Source organism: Homo sapiens, chromosome 1, assembly GCF_000001405.40.
Source record: "Homo sapiens chromosome 1, GRCh38.p14 Primary Assembly".
In the NCBI taxonomy this organism is placed as follows: Eukaryota; Metazoa; Chordata; class Mammalia; order Primates; family Hominidae; genus Homo; species Homo sapiens.
This window is the reverse complement of record NC_000001.11, coordinates 182,673,195-182,687,263: the sequence shown is the minus strand read 5'-3', so window position 1 is coordinate 182,687,263 and position 14,069 is coordinate 182,673,195. Positions and strand designations below refer to the sequence as shown.

General features: G+C 45.1%; 1 protein-coding gene across 5 annotated transcripts in view; it reads left to right on the top strand.

Annotated features, from left to right (window-relative positions):
- RGS8 (regulator of G protein signaling 8) overlaps positions 1 to 14,069 on the top strand; it is a 110,559-nt gene that overhangs the window by 65,113 nt on the left and 31,377 nt on the right. For 2 of the 5 annotated variants that reach the window (NM_033345.4, NM_001102450.3), the window contains exon 1: positions 2,677 to 2,912. The exons of 2 other annotated variants lie outside the window; for them this stretch is intronic. The gene's annotated coding sequence lies outside the window, so the exon portion shown is untranslated. Of the gene's footprint in view, positions 1 to 2,676; positions 2,913 to 4,071; positions 4,174 to 9,497; positions 9,621 to 14,069 lie in introns of those variants that run through there. One more of the 5 variants, XM_017002631.3, reaches the window with a different exon arrangement.

Genomic DNA, 14,069 nt, shown 5'->3' with positions numbered 1-14,069 from the left:
TTTAAGTCCAGCCTGGGCAACATAGTGAGACCCCATCTTTGGGGGAAAAAAACAGAAAAAGAAATAAATGCGTATTCCCAGACCCCACCCTAGACCTGTTGAATTGGAAACTCTGGGAGTGGGGGCCAGAAATCCATATTTTAATAAGTACTCTGGAGGATTCTCATGCTCTTAAAGTCTGAGACGCACTGCACTAAGCCACGTTCCCGGTGGTCACCTATGACGAAAATTCTTTTTGCCATTTTCATCTCAGTTCTCACCCACATTAACTTCTCTGCCGTATTTGACTCTTCTCAAAAGCTCATCTTTCCTGGCTCCTGTGACACTTCATTCCTCTGGTCCTCCTACTCTCTTTCTCTCAGATGATTTTTCTCAGTATCTTTGGTTGGCTCCTCTTTCTCTGCTCCTCCTGTAAATGTAGTCACTTCTCAAAGTCCTGCCCTCAGCCCCTCTTCTCTTGCTGTCCTTGGGTGATTCCATTTACTCCCCTCATCTCTTTTCTTCAGGTGGAGAGCTCCCAAATCCTACCTCTCTGCTAAGATCCAATGCTGTATTTCCAACTCCTCTTCCACTTCTGCCCTGGCCTATCAACAGAGCTCAGGCAAACACACAATTAGTTTTCATTTGCAGGTCAAAGTCTGCTTTTCCTCCTAGGTCCCTTAGCCTTAAGAACTAGTTCTCAAATGGATTGTAGAGTCATTCTCAGCTCCTTCCCATCCCCAAGCCCCACATTCTGAGCTCACCCTATCCTTCACAGAGGATCTCGTCATGCTAATTCAGTCTCCCCAAATCTCTGTACTTTGTCCTTTCCTCTCAAGCCCATTGTCTTTTTTTGGCTCTCATCTTCTCTCACCTAGGAATTTGTAACAAGTTTTGATGGGCTTTACTTGCCTCCAATCCCTCTCCACTTAGTATCTTCTCAAAACACAGATCTGATGATAAAAAAAAAATTCGATCAACACTTCTTTGTTTAAAGTTTTTACCGTGTGGTCCCAATGGACCCTTTACATTGCATTCACCACTGTGGCATCCTATCACACTCTACTTTTTTCTCCTGCCTCCCTAGAAAGAACACTCACTGTTTCCCAAACATACCAGGTACCTCTAGACTCCATGCCATTGCCCAGGCTGTTCCTCAGCCCTGCTTTCTCTAGCCCAGTCGACTCTGCTTGTCGACATCCACATGTAACTTTCAGGGTGCAGGTTGTGTCCAGAGGACGCCTCCTCTGAGGGGATTTCCCTGACTTCCCAGTTGGACTTAATCCCCCTTCCTCCGTGCTCCCCCAGCATTTCCGCAGAGCTCTGTGAGTGCTTAACTCACTTCTCCATGCATTGGAGTCAGCTATTTAAATCTCTCTCTCCTCCACTGGGTCACCTAATACATGACAAGGAGGTCTTAGTCGTCACTGCATCCCCCACAGCACATACTAGGTTCCCAAGAGTTGTCTGCTGAATCGGCCTGATTTTGTCGAAATGGTGCAGCAGTGAAATGGTGACCTGTCCCCTGAGGGGTCATCTCGTGGGTCAGTGCTTGTCAGGACCTCAGGAGTCAGGCTTGACTGAGAACGCCCAGAGTGCAGCAGGGAAGGACAGTTCACTGGAGACCTGCAAGAGTCGTGTTCTGCCCTCCCTCTGCCTCCTGTTCCCTCCCTCCAGAGAAGGCCCTTGCTTGAGATTGCTCTTCCCATCGTTAGCTGTGTTTGTGGAGAGTTCCCCAGCTGCAGCTTCCTTTGGTCTTCTCTGTCTTCCATGGTTTGTTGATTTACTTCCCTGTCAGTCTCTTTCTCTGGCTGTGGTTGTAAATAGAGCTGGTGACTGTAAGCTCCGCCCTGCGCAGTGAACCTGCCTCATGTGCATGGCAGGTCCAGGAGACTGTGGGATCCATGTGAAGGGTCACCTCTCCACTCCAAAGCTGCTCTGGGCTCTGGCCCAAGCTGTCCAAGAGGTTTTGTCCTGACTCTCCAAATGGACCTTTACAGACAGAAGCGTCACATTCTCCCCATTTCTCCATGATGCTTCCTCTTGCTCCTGTTCTTGCCACCACCACCCTCTGGCCACAGGATGGGCAGGTGGTCGAGGGGACAGTCAGGCTTGTTTGCAGCAGAGGGTGACAAATGACACAGAACATTTCATGCATTACACTCTTTCATGTCTAATTTTTTTTTTTTTTTTGCCTCTTTGAGAAAGTTGGAGCTGTGCGTGATATAAATTGCCTTAGCCATTGCTGAAATCCTAAGCAAAAGTGGCCTTGTTGGTTAGGAAAGGAGAGCGACAACCTTGAAGCCAGGCCAGGAATATGGGGCTTTATCTTTCCCCCTTCGCCATCTCTCATAAAGCAACCACTTTCACCTTGGAATGTTTTGAGCAAAAGCAGGTTATCCTTTCTCCCACAAGCCAGTTACCCCGTTTCGCCTCCTTGTGTCCCAGGTGATCTCTTCCCTCCCTCACCTTCCCCTCTGCCATCCCCTCTGAACTCTGCCTCTCCCTGAATTCTGGAGAGCCACCAGCCCCTCGGAGGCAGCTGTCTGTGAGCGAGCTGGGAGCGGGAGAGCCACACAGGCAGTGCCATCCTGCTGGAGCCTGCGGTCCTCCCCCGACTCTGCGTGGCAGTGCGCATCATCTGTCAGAGTGCCCCTCTCCCCTCCCTCTGCTTCCCCACCCCCTCCCCTGCCGCTCACTCGCTCTTTCCCTTTTCATGAGATGCAGAGCCTGGAGAGGAGCGGAGCCGGCAGGAGCAGCATGTTGCAGCCGCTATTCTAGGGGCGCTGGGTGAAGTGGGCTGCCCTCTGCCACCCTCTCCCAGGTGCCAGGAGGAGGTGGCTGACTCTATCACTCAGGGCCTCACCGAACCATGCCCAGCTGGGGCCCGCACCAGCCACACCTTCCCAGCTGCGCTGCCCACCGCCAGGCAGGTAAGAAAGAGCAGCTGCTTCCATCAGGGCCTGAGTGGGTCCCTGGGCAGGTCAGCCCAGGCTATAAGTCTTGCTGAGAGGTGCAGGGCACTGCAGGGCAGAAAAGGTTCTGGCCTCCTGTCATTGTCCCCATTTACTCTCTGACTCCTCAGAGCTATTAAGCCCGCCACCTCCGCCAGGAGCAAGGGTGTAGAAATATGCCTGTTCTTCCCAGTTAGCAGGTGCTAAGCCTCAAATGTCCTTTGTGTTCTCCATCCTCCTTCCTCAACCCTAACTCCTCAGGTCCCCTAACACCTGCTTTCTCCTCAAAGGTGATCCTGTTTCTTCCCTCAGCTCCCTTAGGGGGCTCTGAAAATATTGTAGGTTGATATCTGGACGATAACACTGTCTCTTTATTTTTAGTTTCATTCATGTCTTTTTCTGCTGTTGTTTTAAATGGGTTGCTTGCACAGCAGTCTGGCAGCACACAGAATCTGTTTTGTTTCCAGTACATGTGCAGGTCTTTGGTGTTGCTGGTGACTAACGTTGGTCACACATTCCGATGCAGAAGAACTCACAATCACAATGAGTTGGAGGGAGATTAAAATTGGAGGTCACCAATTTCTAAGCAGTGAGTTGAGGGCACGGTTGCCTCCTACAGGGACTGAAGAGTCCGTGGCATCAGCTAAATGGGTACTTCTCAGCACTGTCTAGTCAGTGACTTTTTTTTTTTTTTTTTTTTTTTGAGCACTGGGAAGAGGGTTGCTCTTCTCTTTCTGTGATAGAATGGTGACTCAATATCAACCTATTGTTGAACTACATACTGAGAACCTGGCTTGCAAGTGTTTGTAGGTCCTGACCTTGGGGTGCTTAGAGTCTAATGAAATAATGAAGGAAAGCTTACCCCATCCTGAAGTCTGGGTTAATTCTGGATTGTTTGTTCTTACAGATTTGAAGAACTTTAGAGTTTTCCTGGAAAATGGAGGAGGTGCTGGCAAGTGGGAGTGAGATAACTGTATTCATGAGATCATAGTAGTTCTTGGTTACAGTTAAAAGCTCTGAACATGCAACATGGTATTACGCTGATGATGGCTGTTATTATTTTGAGAATGAGAGTCCTGTGAGCAATCACTCCAGTAAACTAGTCTTTATTAACTGTTTGTTCTCCACCCATTCTTAGAGCAGGTTTCCTGAAAGAAGTGTGTGTTAGACTGGAAAGGTGATAAGTGAGTGGGCAGTAGAGTGTGTAGTGTGGCCCACATCTCACCATGGCCAGGTCAAGGTAAGCCTCCCTTGGGTATCACATCCTTCTAGCTTCTTCTTTGTTTAAAGATTTTTTCCACATAGTGTCTAACACAAAAAGGGATCTGAAAACTTGCTCTTATTCTTGTCCAGGTGAATGAAACATGCCAGTTAGGTGAAGGTCTTTCTCCCGTGGGTCAGTGAACTCTGACCTGGAGAACATGGTTCCTTAGTCACAACAGCCATGCCACTATAGCAAGGGGCTCTTAGAGGACAGAGCAAGAGTGTGGATGGACAGCTGAGCCAAACCCTCATCTTTCTGTTAAGAAAAACCCTCCAAGTGTGGATCTCAGCCATGGGTCAGCAGCAGCATGAGCTGAATAGGCAGAGTTGGGGTGGAAAAAGTACTGGAGGTCCTGGGTTCAAGTCTTCTTAGGGCCATTAATTGAATTACCCTGGGCCCTCCACTCAGGGCCACTGAGCAGCTTCATCTGTAAAATGAGTGATAACAAGTGTCTGGCTCACTTTCAAAGGAGCTTGTGAGGATCAGCTGAAAGGAATGATAGCTCCCAGTGGTCAAGATGTGCTGAACAACTTTGCCAGGTACTTGCCCACATGATGCTGTTTAATTCTCCCAACTTCCTAGAACAAATTGAGGCTCAAGGGGGGTAAAAAAAACTCGAGGAAGTTCAGCCAGAGAAGTGAAAGCACCTGTCCTTGTATCATCATCCCCATTTACTCTCTAACAGACCCTTCAGAACCTTTAAGCCCACCACTCTTGCCAGGAGCAAGGGTGCAGAAATATGCCTGTTCTTCCAACTTAGCAGGTGCTAAGCCTCAAATGTCCTTTTTGTTCTCCATCTTCCTTTCTCAATCCCAGCTCCAACTTGTGACTTGTGATTATAAGTAACAAAACTCACATTTGTATAGCACAACCCAGCTTGTGACTGCGCTATACAAATGTAAGTTTTGTTAATATAATGACTTTATGACTTAGAACAATTTTCCTGTCTATTCTATTCCAGGCTCTCTGTTTTATGCTTTCTGGTTTCTTCTTTGTCCAAACACCTACATTTCTAGAGATGTCAGAAATGCTTTCTTGCTTCCCCTCTGTGCCTGGGGGGTATTTTTCACGTCCAAGAAATATCAGCATCATCATCAGAACCTTTGCCAGTGTTCTCTGCATGGAATTGGTCAGTGTTCTCTGTATGGAATTTCCCAAAGGCTTTTGAATTCAGCAGTAAAAGGTTCTAGAAGGAAGAGGGTCTCAGAAAAGCTGAGTGGCTTAAGGTTGATTCCTCCCAGGGCCTTGTCTCTCAAGGAAAAGTGTCAGGGGGAATTTGCTCAGCATCTCCGTGCATCGGAGTGCACCCACACAGCCCTCGTCCCTCCTCCCGCCTCCAGCTCAGACATTAACGTGCACCAGCACATGCCCGCAAGCAAGGCGTCTCACTGAGTGCTCTCAGTTCCCAGTTCTGTGTGAATTTCGGAGCAAATACCAGTGGGAGAACTGTCCCCAGAGTCCCAGACTCCACTCCACTATTCCCTGCTGCTGTTGCTGTGGCCGAACCCCACTCCTGGGTCTGATGGCTGTGGATTCTCCTTGCTGCGTGATTCTAGGTGTCTGGCTAGAATGGAGCTAGGAGTGAGGACATGAAAGCCATTGCCTGAAGTCATTAAAAATGGAGGATTAGAAAGAGCTTATTTTATATTCAGAGAAGGGGGAGAGTGCTGAAGCTGCTCTCTGCCCACAGCTGTAGACTCTGATGGCAAATGGTAAAGCTTTTGTTACTATCTGAGAAGGGGAAGAGATTGATAACCAGCACCCTGGCACTGAGCGATAGGAGGGAAAGCCACATTTCAGTTGTGACAGGGTTTCATGCTTGCCTCTCAGCTCCATGGCTTTGAAAACTACATCCCTCTGCTTCTCCACCTTTGGCCCTCCTGTCCCATCCATGCAGCCTCCACACCTCTCCCCACTGGGTGTGGGGCTTCTGCCTTCTCGGACTCTGATGTTCTCCCTGTGACTCAATGTTTTCATAAGCCTAAGTGATTTACAGCCCATGTTTACTTATATATTTCACTGAATTCTTGCAGTAACACAGGAAGTGGGCATTGCCTTAGTAATTCTGATTTCAGAGATGAGAAGGCAAGGTCCTAAGCCAAGGAGAGCCTGCCATAAAGGGGCAGAGTTGGAGCTTGAACCCTTGTTGCTGACCCTGGAGCCTGTGCCACTCTGTGACTCCACACTGTCTCTGTTGGCCAGCATCCTACACCAAACACAGTTTCCTCACCTACCTGCTGGGGGGCTCGTGTCAGCTCAACATACATTAACTGAGCCTTTTCCTGTTGCCGGGGACCGTGCTACATTTTGGAGGTGTAGAGATGAAAAATACGTTTTTTACCTAGGCAATGTACATAGGGAATGTAATGTACCCATGCCTGGGACCTTGCTTGGCACATAGGAGACACTTAAATGTTAGTCAGATGAATGAATGAATGAATGAACCCATGCTTTCTGCCCTTGATGAACTTAGGATCTGGTTAGGAGAAGAGAGTTGCAGGTACCTAGCTATGCCAGGTGCTGACATAGAGAAGTGTGCCTGGAAGCCATAGGAGCACAGAGGGCATTTCCTGAACTTGGGTGTTCAGGTGAGGCTTTTGGAGAAGTCGTCCTGAAGTGCAGCTTGAGGATGAGCAGGACTCACTCAGATCAAGGACATTCTGGGCAGAGGAAATGAAATAAAGGAGGCCCAAAGCCATGGAACCCTGTGATATGTGCTCATGATTATGGAAAGTGTAGAGTTATTGGGGCCTGAAGGACAAGCCAGGGAAGTGGTAGGTGACTCTCAAGGTAGCCAGACCTTGGGGTGTTTGTGTATCAGGATCCTTCTTAAGCTGGAACTTTATCCCTAGAGTAGGAGGGCTTAAAGGTTTTGAGGAGAAGGAAATGCAGTCATGTTTGTGACTAACCAGGTGATTATGGCTGCAGATTGGAGCTGAATTTAAGAAAATAGGCTGTCTCATGGGGACCAGAGACTGTGAGGACGTGAACCAGGACCGTAAGGACATGAGCCAGAGCAGTGGTAGCGAGGATGGAGGGGAGGAGACAGATTTGAAAACTATGAAAGATTTAATCAGTATGATTTGGTAATTGGTTGTCGACAGGAGATGAGAGAAAGGGAGTTGCCTGTAATTACTTTCCTATTTCTGGCTTGAGTTACTCAGTAGATGGTGGTGCCAGAAACTGAGATCAGCAATTCCAGAGGAAGCCAAGGTTTATATGTGTGTGTAGGGGGTGCGGGTGGAGTGGGAGGTGGGCGTGGTGAGGGCGGCGGATAAAATGGGCCAAGAAAAGATGGGAATATGATGTGTCCATTATTTAGATATATTTGCAGTTGTTAGGCCTGTAGGATATCTGAGGGGTATGTTCAGCAACCCAAGGACTATCGGAGTCTACATGATTGGGAGCTATTGGTGTCTACATGATGGGAGAGGGGCTAGAGTTGGACAAAAATATTTAGAAATGGTCAATATACCCAATGTAGTTAGGACTATGGGCAAGGATGAGATTGCCCAAGTAGCATGCAAGGTGAGAGAGGCAGGAAGCTAAGATTAGAGAGGAAGGAAAATACCAGTGTTTATGGGGTGGACAGAGGAGGAGGAGCCAGCAAAGGAGACCAAGGGGAAGGGCAGCCAGGGGAGTGTAATGTTGGGAAGTCAAAAGAGAGAGATCCAAGAAATGAATGGTCACCATGGCAAAGGCAGCAAAGAGGTTCATAAAGACAAGTACTGGAACATTTCCACTTGAACCTCACAGTATGGAGGCTGTGTTTCGGGGGAATGGTGGGAATGGAAGCCAAATGGCAAAGGGGTTAGGAGGGGATAGGAAGTGAGGAAGCAGAGGAGACTCTTTCAAGCAGTTTTGCTGATAAAAGGAGAAACACCCAAGGGTGTTTCCCAAGGGGAATTTTTTTAAATAAAAGAGATGAACATTGTTTTTGTTAAGTGCAGAATAACATGTGAGAAAGAGAAAATAAAGATAGAGTTCATAAAGGAGGGTCCATGGGAAAGAATAGGTGGAAGGCCACAGGAGGAAGAATTCACCTTAAATAGACACATCTGAGGGCAGCTGGAAGGAGGTCAGGGTGTGTGTAATATGGATAGATTAGTAGGAGTTGTTAGTAAGTGAAAAGAGGTCCAGGTATTTCATACCTGAGGCCTTGATGATCTTGATGGGACAGGAGATCAGGTTGTGAGGGTGTGAAGAGTTGTGTATGTTGCATAAGCTCTCTCTCTCCACTCTACCTTCCTGCCCTTCAGCTGCCCTCACAGAAACTAGTTGGCCACTGGAAAGGTCATTTGTAAAACCTGAGTTCAGTGTTTAAGGCTGTGATCATAGTAGGAACAGAGAAGGGCTGTGGAGGTGAGCAAACAGGCCATCATTTCTCTCCTTGTCCAGTGTTAACATATGGCCCTGAATTCTGCCTGTATAGATGGGCAGCTCAGCAGTGGGAACAAAGGATGTGGCTGGATTCCATCCAGGAACTCTGAGTTGGAGTCCTGGCTATGCCTCTAAGAAATGTGACATTGGACAAAGTCTTCAAAGTTTAGTTTCTGTAGGTGATGTCTAGGAGTTATACCCACTCTAAACCTCTGTGAATTTTAGCACCTGCTCCCTAGGCATAAAATAATAGACTTTTCTTAAAATGGATTTATTCAAGGGGAGAAAAACTTACAATGGAAAATGTACAGAAAATCAAGTTCCATTCAAATAGTCTCCTCCTTCTGTATTTCAGTTTTCTTGTACTTTGTTGGCTTATTTTACTGAAGCCACACATTGTAGGCACAATTTCAAATATACACAAGTCAAGAGAACAGAACAATGAGTCCCTACGTACCTACCACCCAGCTTCCCACCCAAGATGATGTTGAAGCTGTTCATGATAGCATATCATTTCAACTATAAATATTTCAGAGTATACCTCTAAAAGATAAGGTCTCTTAAAAAAGCCTCAATATCAAAATTGCACTAAAAAATAACGATAATGTCTTAATACTATTAAATATCTAATCAGTGTTTAGATTTTCTCAATTGCACTGTATTATTTTTAAAATTTTACATTTGAATCAGGATTCAACACAAAGTCCATGTATTACATTTGGCTGAGGTGTTTCTTCAGCTTTATTTTTAACCCTGATGGCCATTGTCTGCGAGGCAGCACTGTGTAATCCTCTAACATCTCCTGATTTTGTTTCATTTCCTTTGCTGTTGCTATACCATTTCATTTGAGGAGACCTAAGGAAGAATCGCAGGCTTAGACACCAAAGCCTCCAAAATTTAACTTTGAAATTTCTTTCTAGACACACTTAGAAGGGGGAGTATAAAGTAGTGAATAAAGAAAAGAGGCTGGCAAGAGGAAAACCCTGCAGTGAGCAGTGAGGAGACAAATGAATGCTCAAGAGGAACAAAAGGAAATGAGAAAGGTAACAGAGACTTACGTAACCCCCAGCCACTGAGCAGCTGGAGAATCATTACAGATGTGCTATCTTATACATTTTTGTCTCACCTCGCTGAGCAGGTGGTAAAAAAGTGAAACTTTAAATAATGGCATTCTATTTATATAGCACCTTTCCCCAAACAGCTTATTAAATAGCTGAACAGACATCTAAGTAATCCTCTATGTAAAATGAGGAAGTAGTAGGAAATTTAATTACCATTTTACAGATGATAAAATATAGTTGAAAAGACTACGAATAATGATAAAAGTGGCTCACACAGAACAGCTATTTGCCGTTTGTCAAGAATTGTGATGAAGACTGCATTACATTATCTAATTCAATCCTTATAACGAGACTATGACATTGCTATTGTTATTATCTTCATTTTATCCATGATGAAAATGATACTCAGACAGGGCGAGTAGCTTGCCCACAGTTCTGGATCTGCCCTTAATCTGGAAAATTACGGAGTTGGGGTTGAAGCTCAGGGCTGTCAAATCCACCACACTTTCTTTTCCAGTCAGTCTAATCTCCACTAAATTAGGAAACTTTTTTTTTGTTTTTTTCATCTCCTTGCTCACTGGCAAAATTCCATTTAAAGGGAAGCCAAGATCATCTTCAAATATAATAATAGGGTGTGATGTACTGGAATTTACAGGGCATTTCCCCCATAGACTTTCTCATTTCTTTGCATATAATCGCCCTGAGAAATAGACCGGGCAGGTGTGTTAATTTGTGTTTTACAGATGAGGAAATTGAAGTTGAAATGTCTTGGTGATGTTCGTTGGTGGTCACAGAGCTAGTAGAAGTAGTTAGTGTCATGGAGCTAGTTAATTGCAGAGTTAGTACCAAAGGCCCTTTCTTCTGATTCCAAATCCTGTGCTTCTTGGTTTTCTTTGAAAACCTCATGGGCACACAGCTTCAGCTGCTGACTTTTCTCCATGTCCCCTCTGATGTTCCTTATGAGGAGTTGAGCAGCGTTATTACAAATTAAATATGTGGATGCTTGAACTGATGAACAGGAAATGAGGCTGCTAATGCTCAGAGGAATGAGATAGAGGTGCATTTTTTAAAGTAGAATTTTGGGCCAAGTGACCTCCTTCTGTCCTGCCCTTCCATGTGTCCTTCCGGTTTCCATGGAAACCCTAAATCAATGCAGCATATGTTGATTCATGTTTCTACTGTTACTAGGAAGCTACGAAGTGGAAATTGCTTTTAAAAGATTTACGGAAGAGCTTTAGCATGCTGACCAGAATTCAAATCTAATATCCAAATGACTGTTTTATTAAAAGCTTTAAATGTGGTATTATCCTAGGTGGTATGTTGATTACATAAACACACAGGGGCATTTGGCAATAAACCTCCTCCACTCTCGTGGCTTTTTAAAATATTATATTGCAAATTTAAACTCCCTTTATCTTCAATTTAATTACATTCTCATGGCCTGTGTGACAATGCCAGGTGCTCCTTTTGCTCTTGATGAATTCCACACTGCCCTGACCAGGCTATTGGGTTAGTTTGCAAATGCCTTATGTACCTGTGCAGCTGACCCTGAGTGTCATTAGCATTCTGTTGACTTCAGTCTTGACCAGAAGGCTGCAGAAGTCTAACATGTTTCTACCATAAAGAATCCTCGGCGATTTTTCAGATTTTTTTTTCACGAACTCAAAATCAAATTTAGCCGACATTTACTCAACACCTGCTCTCTGTGAGTTAATGAGAATTAATAGTAAGGAGAGTAAGTAAAAGAGTCTGTCTTTTTGGAGCACACAGTCAGTTGAGAGGCTCAGAAAATATAAATCTTAAGAATAAACTATGCCTGTGATGTGGGCTGTCAGAGGGCCTTACAGCAAGGTGGTGCTATTGGGATGGAGGGGGTTCCTTCTGATTGGGAGAATTCTGAAAAAGGTTTGGAAAGGAGAATTTTTAGCTTGAGGTAATGGGTTTAGGGAAGAAGCTGAGAGTTAATAGGCAGATCAAGGGTGGGGACATTCCGGGCAGAAGGGACAGCAGAGGAATCATGCATGTGTGTGGGATAGAAAACCTGGATAGGCAAACGGGACAAACTCATTGTCAGGCAGGACAAGGAGGTGCAATGGAGCCCATCAAAGATGATTGCACAGATGATCCACTTTATGGTATCTGTTCAGTGGTACTCTGGTGGTAGTGTAGTGTGCAAGAAGGTTTGTGGGTGGGCAGAGAAAGAAATGAGGGCAGGGAGATCAGTTATTTAAGAGAGGGCAGGAGGTTGTGCAGGTGCTGGGGGTTGAATAACCTCTCATATGGCAGCATCAATGGATGGGAGGAAATGAAGTTGAGAAATACTTCAAAAATATGACAAGATTTAAAAACCAATTTAGGAAGGGAATGGAGAAAAAGAAGCCAGAAATGTCTGTACTTGTTGGGGTTAGGGTTAGGCTTAGGGTCCCTTGTGGGACTTGGGCAGAGTAATGTCACAAGTAAGCACAGGGAGCCCAGCAGGAATGGAGGATGGGGGAGAGTGATTGTTTAGAGACAGTATAGCATGCAGGGTCTGTTTAGAGAAGAGTATAGTGTGCAGGGTCTGAGATGTGAGGAACTGTCCAGCAAACCTCTGGAAAAGCGGCCTAGAGCTGAAGAGGCAAGATTGAAGCACTGATTCTGGAGAGGAGTGGTGGGTGCCTGGAGAGGGCAGGGCTTCCCAAGAGGAGTGAGTATAGACTGGGAAGTTCAGAGGCGGGCAGGACAGCCCAGAGGCAGGAGCAGGGCTTGCAATCACTGTGTTCCTGTAAGAAACGTGAGTTGTGGCCAGTTGAGATGTCCTGTGCCAACTGCAGCTAGCAAGTCAGGAGCAGTAGCTGGAAAAGAACCCAGAGCTCTACATTCCTGGGCCAGAGCTCTAAGCCTGGGGAATGTAGAGTCCAAGGTGATGAATTCCTTTCTCACGAGCACTTAACTCTGCTTGCCTTTTCTGTTTATTTGTTTCAGGAAAGAAGACGATGCTAGAATGCTTTACTTTAGGTTCAGCTTAATTCTCCTCCCTGAAATTATGCCCTGGCCTCTTTGGAAGATTATGCTGGTGTCCTCTTGTAAGCGGGGCCTGCACTACGTCTGTACTTCTCAAACTATGGTCCTCTGTGATTACTTTTTGGCATTTAGGAGTGTTTTGATTAGAAAAAAAAAGCTTGGACTAGTTTTAATGTTCCGTTTCCTTGTGTTATTCATGTCCACACACTTTTGTCCCTCTGCTCTTTATATTCCTGTTCTTTCTTTTACATTTTTCTTGTTTACTATAGCTCTTTTTAAACATTGGACTTATTGACTTCTTGTGACTATATTATTTTCCCAAAGGCTAATTGAAGATTCTGATGCCTGGTTAATATTGATTAGCTTCCACTTGCGACTCAGGCCCATTTGCAGCCCTGCTCTCTTTCCTTGGGGCCTTTACCCCGTGGACACTGGCCGGGGCAGCGTGAGATTTGGAGGAGGCCTTTGTTCCGCTGTTTTAGTGCTGGTAGAAAGTGTCCTATGATGGCACTACCTTTGTGTTAAAGCAAGGAGTAGAGCAGAGGCTGGAAGCATCAGGTTTGGTGCTAGATACCAGCTCTGCCACTTTTAAATGACGCGTCTCTGTTTCTCCATCTGTAAAAGGGAGATGATAAAGGTGTTGGCTTTGTAAATTTGTTCTGAAAATTAAATAGATAACTCAAATACGATGTTTGGCATAGTGTCTGGCACATACTAACTGCTCATTAAACATTAGCTATGTGGATTCACCTTATTCTATAAACATATCTTGAATTAGGGGAGTGCTTATCAATGGGCTTTTATTCACCAGTTTATCTGTGTACAAGTTTCTTATGGTGCCGTGTACCAAGAAAATGTCCAGAAATGAAGGGTTCTCTTTCTGCTTAAGTTCTAAACCCCAATTAGCAACAGGGTTCAAGAAAGGGGTAATAAGAAATGAGAAACTTTTCTTTTGCATCTTATTTTATAACACAAAGTTCCCTTTCTTTAATAGAGGGGCACTGTGGACGATATCAGAAAGAGACAATGAGTCACTGTGGAGGCAGCATCAGAATTTTTATTTCATCTTATCAACAGACAATGAGTAGTTGTGGCAGAATCATTTCACCGAGAGAATTCAGGTTATGCACCAATAGATCTGCCCAGAAAGACTGGGTCCTGGTATGATATAGTAGAAAGAGCTCTGCTGTTAGAGTCATAAGACTCAAATTCTGGTCCTTGTGCCTCCTCTGGCATGTTGGGTTGCTTTGATAAAGGTACATCACCTTTTCTGGCCTCAGTTTTTTCATCTGTAACATGGGAATAATAATACCCTCTCTGACTGTGGCATAGGATTGTTGAGTGACAATACATGAAAATGCTTTATACATTTAAAAAGGTTTAAAAAATCGAATTCATTTCCATTATTATAAAGCCATCACTTTCTGT